A 10,985-nucleotide genomic window follows, 5' to 3' on the forward strand; every position below is an offset into this window, starting at 1 on the left:
GCCATCTTGGGAGACACTGCTTAGCACATACTTCTTCCTTAGTTTTCCCCACTGCTCGTTGCTTTTTTTTCCAAATGTGTATCACATTTCTGTGATGAAAATCATATTGTCGGCCGGGCGCGGTGGTTCACACTTGTAATCCCAGCACTTTGGGAGGCCAAGCTGGGTGGATCACTTGAGGTCAGGAGTTCAAGACCAGCCTGGCCAACATGATGAAACTCCATCTCTACTAAACATGCAAAAAAAAAAAAAAAATTAGCTGGAAATTAGTCAGTGTGGCGGCACATGCCTGTAATCCCAGCTACTCAGGAGGCTGAGGCACAAGAATTGCTTGAACCCAGGAGGCAGAGGTTGCAGTGAGCTGAGATCATGCCACTGTACTCCAGCCTAAGAGACACAGTGAGACCCCATCTCAAAAACAACAACAACAAGAAATCATGTTTTGTGATGTTGATGCTAACTGGTGTTAAACTCACTCAATCTGTTTTTCAGTGGCCTCAAATTCCATTCTGCTTTTGGCCATAGCCCTGGGTTTCTTTGCGAATATTTTCTTATTTTTAAACACTGTTAGACTTTCTCACATGTTACTTTGCTCCGTCAGAAATTTTGGATTATTACCTTACATGGAAAAACCAGTTTCTCTACTCATAAATTAATCCTAGAAACAAATACAATGAGAACATTATAATGTTTAACATTCCAACTAGATACTGTGGTCTGATGCAGGCTTAAGTCCTGGGCCTGTTTTTTCCTTTTTTTTTTTTTTTTCCTTTCATGTTCAGGAGGCAAAATTTTTTCTTTACTACAAAGGGGAAATTTGCAAGTATGTGAGAGATGTTAAAAATTTATCAGCACTGGCCAGGCACGGTGTTGTCCAGCACTTTGGGAGGCCAAGGCAGGCAGATCACCTGTGGTCTGGAGTTCAAGACAAGCCTGGCCAACATGGTGAAACCCTGTCTCTACTAAAAATACAAAACATTAGCCGAGCGTGGTGGCAGGCGCCTGTAATCCCAGCTACTCGGGAGGTTGAGGCAGGAGAATCGCTTGAACCCGGAGGGGTGGAGGTTGCAGTGAGCCGAGATCGAGCCACTGCACTCCAGCCTGGGAAACAAGAGCAAAACTCTGTCTCAAAAAAAAAAAATTATTAACACTGAATGGAAACATTTTTCTATATGTAATCACTGGATGGAAAGGATATAAAAAAATGCATAACTGTCTATGAGATGGAATGTTGTTTAATGCTGGGTCTATGTGGTACCTAAAATCATCCTGTCCAGGGGCACGTGGCCCACACTTTGGGAAACATGGCTTTAAGTAGATGGGATGTCTGTGGGGTCAGGGAAAGGGAGAGCTAACACGGAACTCTGCTCCATGGCAGAACAAAAGCAGAACTTGGGTCTCCCTTCCACACCCACTTTGCTCACTCTGCTGCAGTCTTTTCATGAACAGAGACTATTACAGAACTAATTAAATTCAACAGGCAGATTCACCACCAAGTGCAAGATACACTGCCGTAAGATACAGAACAATGTGACCTTGGAATAGGCACGCAACAAAAACATCCAACATTGCACAGCTTTTTACTATGTTCCAGGCACCATTCTGAGTGTTTCATATGTATTAACATATTTTATCCTCTCAGCAAGCCTATGAGATACATGCTATTATTATCCCACTTTATAGATAAAGAAATCAAGAGGCTGAGGAACCTTCAAGATCACAGGTCTAGTAAGTAAAGGAGCCAGGATTCAAATGCCAGCTGTCCGCCCCAGAGCCAGGTGATTAATCACCACTCTAACCAGACTCAGAAACATGACACAGAAGTAGCCCCTAAAGGTCCACAATGCAACCCTGTGGGACTGGATACATAATTTACAGGGTTCAGTGCAAAATAAAAATGCAGGCTCCTTATTTAAAAAGTTGAGAATTTCAAGATGGTGACAGCAGAGCATGAAACCAAGTGTGGGGCCTGAGTGGAGCCCTGTGCCCAGGTGTACAGGTCGCATGCCCAGGAAACTGGCCTTGCAGCCAGGTGAGCCAGCTGTCAATTCCCAGAGCCGGGCATTCCAGCCGAGCTTGTGTAGTGCAGCTGACTGTGAACCCAGACAAACCTCAGTTGGCTAAGGAAGAAAGTTGTGAAGGATGAAAAAAAGGTCATAGGGCCTTTGAGAGGGATGCTAGTGTTTCTTACAGAAAATATTCAGACCCAGCCAGGTGCGGTGGCTCACGCCTGTAATCCCAGTACTTTGGGAGACTGAGGCGGGTGGATCACCTGAGGTCTGGAGTTTGAGACCAGCCTGGCCAACATGGTGAAACCTTGTCTACTAAAAATACAAAAATTAGCCAGGCATGGTGGCGGGCACCTGTAATCCTAGCTACTTGGGAGGCTGAGGCAGGAGAATTGCTTGAACCTGGGAGGTGGAGGTTGCAGTGAGACAAGACTGTGCCATTGCACTCCAGCCTGGGCAACAAGAGCAAAACTCCGTCTCGAAGGAAAAAAAAAAAAAGAAAAGAAAAGAAAAAAAAAAGAAATGAAAATATTCAGACCCCAGGGGACATGCCTGTATTAACCATCACTAGATTTTCAGATGAATGTTGTTGAAGGTTCCTCTACACTAGAGGCTATGGGAGCTTGGTTCCCACTGCACAGCTTGGTGACAGGTAGGAGAGAGCCCAACTCCAGCAGCATTTTGGAATGCTGTCCCCAACATCTGGAGCACAAGATGTCAGAGAGAGACTGGGATGGGTTGATAAGGGAGAAGATGACTTCCTAGCCTCTTTCGAGGTCTGATGATCCACACTTTGAGAATAGACGTAGGAAAGACCTTCTACTCCTGTGTCCTACAGGTGTGAGATTCTCTAGCAACTGCAGAGTGGTTAACAGCAAAGAGGACATGCGTACCCACTTCTGAATAGCAGGGCTGGCTGCTTCAATAGAGCGAGAAAAAGGTGGGAGTAGAAGGACAGGGGAGAGGAGAGGAGATGGAAGCATGGATGGAGGTGACTGCAGTCAGATAAACAGTTGTTTGGCACACAAACCCAGCGTTCCATAAAGTCCTATGTGGACTCTGTGAGTTCACAATAGTTTCCCTTGCCAGCAGCTCACAAAACTGTGCCTTGATTACAAATCTCATGACAAATCAAGCCCTTGACCAACAGGGACTTTGTCTTGTCTGCTGTTGTACTCCAAGTCCCTAGCACACAGTAGGTTCTCGAATATTTGTTAGAAAATGAATAAATAAATGGTCCCAGGAAGTATTTTCACTTCTAAGGCTTAATTATTGGCAGAATTAACCACTGAAGCCATCTCAGTGTTGGCTTTTCTTTGCGAGTAGTTTTTCACTAATTTAATCTCTTCACTTGTTATAGATATATTCAGATTTTCTTTTTCTCTTGAATCTATTTCAGTAATTTGTACCTTTCTAAGAGCTGTCCATTTTATTTATCTAATTTGTTGGTACACAATTGTTTGCAGTATTCTCTTATAATTCTTTTTATTTCTATAAGGTCAGTAATGATGCCTCCTCTCTTATTCCTGATTTTAGTAATTTAAGTCTTCTCTCTTTTTTTCTTGGTAAGTCTAGATAAAGATTTGGCAATTTCATTGATCTTTTTGAGGAACCAACTTTGGTTTTCCAGTCTCTAGTGTGATAATTGCTACTCTAATCTTTATTGTCTTTCTCGATCAGATATTATTCTACATCATTTTTAAAAACAGCTAAAGCCACAAATCTGCCTTGACCCTTTTGTTTTTGCTTCTGCTCTGTCGATCTTCCTTGAGGCAGCAGATCTTTCATGACCTATTGCCCAAAAAGGATAGAGTCACAGGGTCACAGACAATTCTTGGAAAAATTTACATTGGTGAATATATCAAAATGATATTCTGCTACATATGCATAACTTATCTTCACTCTTGGACCACAAAGATCTATTTCAGAGACAAATTTGGAGTGGAATTTTCCTTAACATTATCCTCAATAGAGCCTAAAGTATAGAATACACTCATTTTCTCACTCATATCCTGAGACCTCAGTGGTCGTTTACCAGACGTTGGAATTCCTAAATGAATACCATTGCCTTAAAAATCATATTCCTCAGGTCAGAAGGCTAGAGTGCTCTAGTACAGGAGTCCTCAACCCCTGGGTGAGTGAACATTAAACCTGAGCTCCATCTCCTGTCAGGTCAGCTGTGGCACTGGATTCCAGGAGTGTGAACCCTATTGTGAACCGTGCATGCAAGGGATCCAGACTGTGCTCTCCTTATGAGAACCTAACTAACGCCTGATGATGTGAGGTGGAACAGTTTCATCCTGAAAATCATCCCCCTCACCACTGTCCCAGCACTGTACTGGTCTGTGGAAAAATTGTCTTCCACAAAACCAGTCCCTGGTGCCAAAAATGTTGGGGACCACTGCTGTAGTAGATTCCTAGTCAGTTTGAGGTGTCTTTTTTTTTTTCAGGTGGACAGAAAGTAGGATTTATTGTTGGGCCTTAGGAGGGGCAGCACAGTGGAAGCCCTCATGAGTGCAGGGCCCACCACTTGTCCAGAGGGCCACGACTGGGGATGTACTTGACCCCGCAGTCATCTGGAATGAGCCGTTTCTCAGCCACCATGTCTTCACATTGAACTTGGTAATGCCCCACTTCTTTGAGATGTGGATCTTCTGGTGGCCAGGGAACTTGGCCTTGGCCCTGTGCAGGGCCTCAATCACATGCTCCTTGTTCTGCAGCTTGGTGCCGATGGACACGATGACGTGACCAATGTGAACCCTGGCCACAGTGCCCTGGGGCTTTTCAAAGGCACCTCATATACCTGTTTGGAGCCTGTCAGCCCAGCACAGGACGTCTTGTTGATGTGCATAACGTGGAAGGGGTGGAGCCGCACTTGGATATGAAAGCCATCCTCGCCGCAACTTTTCATCATGTACTTATTGGCACAAATTCAGGCAGCCTCCAGGGCTTCAGAGGAGAGCTGCTCATATTCATCTGACACCATGTGGCCACAGAGTGGAAACTCATCCACTTTTACCTTCTTCCACCCCAGGTCAAAGATGGGAATCTCGGCATCAGCAACACCTCGCCAGAAGAGAGGCTTTGTGTTGTTCTTACAATAATGGTAACACTGGGTGGGGCAGCGGCCCATGGTGACACCAGAATCTTCAGTGGCACACGAAAGGGAAAGAGCTTGAGATATCTTTTGAACTTAAGAGTCATCCCTTTCTCTAAGAACTGACCCCCATCTAGAAGATGGGCAGCCCCAATTGTACTGCATGACCCTGTCCTCAGACCCAGCTTAATGGACCAGAAGTAGACAGCTGACTGAATCTGGACAAGGTAGATTTCCTTCCTGAAAGTCTGAAATTATGACTAAGAGGCAGCCGTACTTGTCTTCTGGTTGTTGGAATTGTTCCATGTGAACTCAGGAGCTGAGGGCAAACATATTCCACCATGAGAACAGAGAAACAGGGAAGACTGCTCTGTTGGAAAACAGAAACATGTTGCAGTTCTCCTAAGAGAAACAGAAACAGAAGATGGTGACTGGGTCCCTGACAGCTTCCTGCTTTCCCTGATGGCTTTCTGATCTAGTCCCATATTAAAATCTAGTGGCATTTCTGACTTTGAATTCCATAAGACACCCCTGTGTCCTTATAAATTCTCCTTTGCTTTGTCATCATAATTATCAACATTGTCAACATTATCAACAAAAAAGATAAAACTTCCTGAACATTTACTATGTGCCAAGTAAAGTTCCAATTAGCTTACACAAATTATCTTATTTAATCCTCCCAGTGAATCCATGTATTACTTCATTTTACATATGAGGAAACAGGGACAAAGAAATTAAGTAACTTGTCCACTACAGTCAGCAATAGATAAAATCAGGATTCACACCAAGGCCATCTGACTTCAGAATCTGAGCTCTAACCACCATGTTATACAGTTTAGCCTGCTCACGTTGGTTCTTAGCACTTGCAACTAAGACGTATTAGCTAAATAGGGCTCCTCAGTCTGGCCCTACTCTGCCTAACAAAAATTATCTGCCATTTTCCCCAGTGTGCTGAAGCCAGCATTCCCCTAAAACATACTATGGTCAATGTCACCTCCATGCCTTTTTGCTCCTTCTCCTTCCCACCCACCCCCACTTTTATATTCTACCAATGATTCAGGGTCCACTTCCAGTTCTATCTTCCCCAGGGAAACTGGTCACCCGTATGTTCTATCAGTCAGTAACTATGCTGCCTTGCAATGGTGGTTAATAGCTTACTGCATGTATGTCAGGCCTCTATGATGAGATTGTAAGGTCTTTAAAAGCAGGGGCTATATTTTCTCTTTCGCTGTGTCCCCAAAACACTATAATTCATTGTAAGCATGCAATAAAAGCTCCTTGAATTGAACTAAAGGCAGTAATCTTAGTGGCATAGACAAAGGCAGGGAGAGAAGGTCAGGCACAGAGAGGCTTAACTTTAAAGGAGAGCTTAATGTCTTTTCATAAGTGTCAGGAATGGCCTTCACATACTCATCTTGTTTTAAAATTTTATGTGTCAATATTACATTTTAAAAGTTTTAAATCTCTATAGGAAAAAGGATATTATATTGAAACATAAATCTTCCATAATTGCTGAATTCTCACCCAGCCCTTGATCTCCTTGTTGAGTGGTCCCAAGTCTGACATTCTGAAAGTGACATACGCTGCTCCCCACAGCCTCAAACACATCTCTGATCTCACTCTTGGGCACACCCCAAGCCCTGGGATGACCATCACAACTCCCCTCTGCCCCACCATCTCAGAGGAGGTAGGTTTCTTCCCCTTAAGAAGAGTATGGGGGTGATGAGAGTATCCCAGTGCCTGAGTCTTCCTAGGCCCCAGGAAGGCCTTGGAATCCTCTCTGATCCTTAGCATTCACCCTCATCTATGAAAGCAACTGTTTGCATTATGTGTCCACTTAGTGTCCTGACAACAGTCTAAACTCAATCCATCCAAAAGCAAATCAACATCTTCCCCAAAGTTGTTCCTCCTCTTTTTACGGTAATAGCTGCCACCATGATCCAATCATCCAGGCTTGAAGCCTGAGTCATCTTTGACTCAGAACATCACAGTGCTAAAAAAAAAAAAAAAAGTATTTTAAGCCATTTGCCTCCTTCCCCCAGTATATGATTTATACTCAGACTCTGTCTCTCAATATCTTAAAATGCATCTGAGGTCTGTCCCTTCCTGTGTATTCCCCCGATAAGGCTCTGGATTTTGGCAACAACTCCTGAACTACTACTCTCTTTTCCTGCTGGTTTGAATAGGGAGAGAAGCAAAAGTAAACTGGAAAGTGGAACTAGAAGTCTCTAAAACCACAAGTGTTAACCTTACCCTTGCCAGAATGGGGCACATGAATTGTCCTACTAGCAGGTAACAGCTGAGTTTAACCAACATTTAAGAATTACCAACTACATCCTGGCTAACATGGTGAAATCCTGTCTCTACTAAAAATACAAAAAATTAGTCGGGCGTAGTGGCGGGCGCCTTGTAGTCCCAGCTACTCGAGACGCTGACGCGGGAGAATGGTGTGAACCCGGGAGGCAGAGTGAGCCAAGACCGTGCCACTGCACTCCAGCCTGGGCGACAGAGCGAGACTCCGTCTCAAAAAAAAAAAAAAAAAAAAAAGAATTACCAACTAAATGTCACACATGTGGCCTTGTGTGGGGTGCTGGGGCCACAGCAATAAGTAAGACTTCCCCAGCCCTCAAGTGCCTAGCGAGGGATGAGAGCTGAGGGGGGCGATCCCAGAGGGCTCTGCGAGTCCTGAAGGGGATTGTTCAATGCTGAGGGCGAGGTGAAGGCCAGGAGAGTGTGCGTAGGGAGAGGACATGTGTACTAGGTTTGAGGGCTGAATAGGATTTCAGGCCTGAGGGCTGAGGGGTGGAGGGCAATTCCAGGCTATTAAGCAAAGGCTTAGTTTACAGGCTGGACTAATCCGATTTGTGTGCTGTGTCCTGGGCTCCCCTGTGGCAGTGATGCAATCATGTGACAGTTGGTGGTCATGTGCTGGGTAAGGACACTTTCAGGAAGGATGATATCACAGAAGTGATATAATCACCAGATAACTTTCTGAGTAGGAGGCACATGTCAGGGCATGAATTCAATGGTGACAGACGTGAAACTGCTGACAGCATTGTTTTCACTTCTACCTCAAGATTTGTGTGGATGTCTACAGGAAACCAGGGGGTCAAAAATAGAAAGAGAAGAGGTGCTGAACATTGGAGATGGACTCAATTTCCCCCTCCAGGCAATTCTTCTCCCCAGGATCTCTCACGGGTTTTTGCTTTATACATATATGTAATGCTATTTTTCAAACATATAAAGAGACTGTTGTGGCTAATTTTTAAAACCTATAAATTTATCTAAAAATCCTATTGAAATCCAAATGTCTTTTGCCTTACATACACCATTAGATAATAAAAGCACAACTTCCACTACGTAAGGTCTGATTCTTTGGTGGGGAAAAGGGATTAAAAGAGGTCCTCATCTTGAGAAACCACTGCTATACACCACAGGTGTGTAATGACAGCCCTGCCTTGGTGATCCTCCAGGTTGGGGAGTGGCACCACATCCAGGTTATGTTGAATCTCAATTTACAATGTATAGTGTACTTTTTTTTTTTTTAAGATGGAGTCTTGCTCTGTTGCCCAGGCTGGAGTGCCCATTATGAGTCATGGAGACTCAGATTTTGAGTAAGAGAGAAATAAAACTTTGTGCTTTTAAGTAATAATAAGTCAATCCTGACTAATATCACATGGTAAGAAGTCTGGATTTTATTCTAAGTGGGATAGGAAGTCATTTCAAATTTTGAGCCAGAGAGTGATAAGATCTTGTATATGTTTAAATGACCTCTTTACTGTGTGTAGGTTATGAGGCAGAAGGACTGGTTGTAAGTCCATTGAAGTTAATTTAGAATGAAGTAGTGGTGGCTTGAAATTAGCGGTGGCAGTAGAGATTGTGAGTCGAATTCAGAATATACAGGCATGCACCATATAATGACATTTTGGTAAACAATGGACCACATATGGTGGTCCCATAAGATTATAATGGAGCTGAAGAAGAAAGTTTGAAGACTACCAGATATCAAAACTTACTGTAAAGCTACAATAATTACAACCAGATGGTACTGCCAAAGGGTAGAAAAATAGAACCATCAGACAACAGAAAATTCAGAAACAGACCTACATCTATAGGAAAATTTGATTTGTCACAAAGGATAAGCTGAACACTAGTAGGGATAGGATAATCATTTCAATAGGGAGTGCTCAGTCAATTGGATAGCCACATGGAAAATAATGAATCTTGGCCCTTAGTCATATATACAAAAACCAAATCCAGGTTGATTGTAGGTCTAACTTTGAAATGTAAAACAATAAGAAATCTAGAAGGTTATTGGGAGAGTACCTTCAGGGGAGGAAAAGATTTCTTAAACACGACACAGAAAGCACAAATCAGAGACAGAAAGATTGATAAACCATTACATTGAAATTAAAAACTATGTTCATCAAAAGATACTATTTAGAGAAAAACAATACCCACAAAAGTAGGAGAATATATACATATATATATAAAATCTCAATAAGTAACAGAAGGACTTTTAACCTGATTATTTGAATAACTCCTTTAAGTCAATAAGAAAAAGCATACAGGCTGGGCACAGTGGCTCATGCCTGTAATCCCAGCACTTTGGGAGGCCAAGGCAGGTGGATCACTTGAGGCCAGGAGTTCGAGACCAGCCTGGCCAACATAGCAAAATCCCATCTCTACTAAAAATACAAAGATTAGCTGGGCATGGTGATGCACACCTGTAATCCCAGCTACTTGGGTGGCTGAGGCATGAGAATCACTTGAACCAGGTAGGCAGAGGTGAGCCAAGATCGCACCACTGCACTCCATCCAGCCTCAGGACAGAGCCAGACTCTGTCTAAAAAAAAAAAAAAAAAAAAAAAAAAAGAAAGAGCAATGGACAAAAAAAAAGAAACAAGAATAGATACTTCACAATAGAAGATATCCATATGGCCAAAAAAAAAAAAAAATTGAAGAAGAAGAAAAGAAAGAAAAGCTACTCAACCCATCAGGAAAATAAAAATGCTGCTAAACATGCCCAAATAACTAAAATTAAAAAAAAAAAGATAATGCCAACTATTGCTGAGGATGAGAAGCATCTGGAACTCTCATACAGTGCTTGTGGAGATGTAAATTGGTACAATCACTTAGAAAAATTGGTCGTATTTACATACCCAATGCCTGAGTAATTCCATTCCTAGGTATATATCCAAGAAAAGTATACATATGTATACCAAAAGACAGGTACAAGAGTGTTTATAGCAGCACTATTTGTAATTGCCCCAAGGTGGAAACTATCCAAATGCCCATCAATTGTAGATTGGATAAATAAATTGTGGTATAGTCATACAAAGAGCACACAACAACAAAAATGAAAAAACTATTGAGAGGGAGAGATGCCCAAGGATTCCCAGCTGTTTCAGCCCTCATCTGTTTGAGTCTTCCCAGACAGGTGAGTAAAGAAGCCTTACAGATGATTCTAGACTGAGCCACTATCTGACTGAAACAACATGAGAAACCCTGAGTGAGAACCGCCTAGCTGAGCCCAGTCAGGTCCCGCACTCATGAGCACCACATATTATTAGGACAATTTTAAGTCACTATTTTAGGGATTGATATTACACAGCAATAGATAACTGAAATATATGTTGAAGTATTTAAAGAAAAAGGAAAATAGAATATATTACATTTATAAATCTACTTTAAGATGTTTAAGAAAATCTAATTAACTAAGTTTGTAAAAGTCCCTCTAAAAACTATTGTTTAATACTAGGTTCATCAACAGAAAAAGAGATTTGTAAGTTGAATGTCACAGCCTAAGGGAAAACGAGGTTTTTAAATTTCCACTTCCATAAATTTGAATCTTAATTGAAAAATAAAAAATAACCACC

General features: G+C 42.4%; 1 pseudogene, besides 1 other annotated feature; it reads right to left on the reverse strand.

Moving 5' to 3' along the window:
* Positions 4,458–5,183, reverse strand: RPL10P7 (ribosomal protein L10 pseudogene 7; annotated as a pseudogene).
* Positions 7,792–8,301: an enhancer, noted in NCBI's record as "active region_20319". NCBI's record gives its function as "activates an Ori minimal core promoter by ATAC-STARR-seq in GM12878 lymphoblastoid cells {active_cell/tissue: GM12878}" and the evidence as "EXISTENCE:reporter gene assay evidence [ECO:0000049][PMID:35858748]".

This window comes from Homo sapiens, chromosome 3, assembly GCF_000001405.40.
Source record: "Homo sapiens chromosome 3, GRCh38.p14 Primary Assembly".
In the NCBI taxonomy this organism is placed as follows: Eukaryota; Metazoa; Chordata; class Mammalia; order Primates; family Hominidae; genus Homo; species Homo sapiens.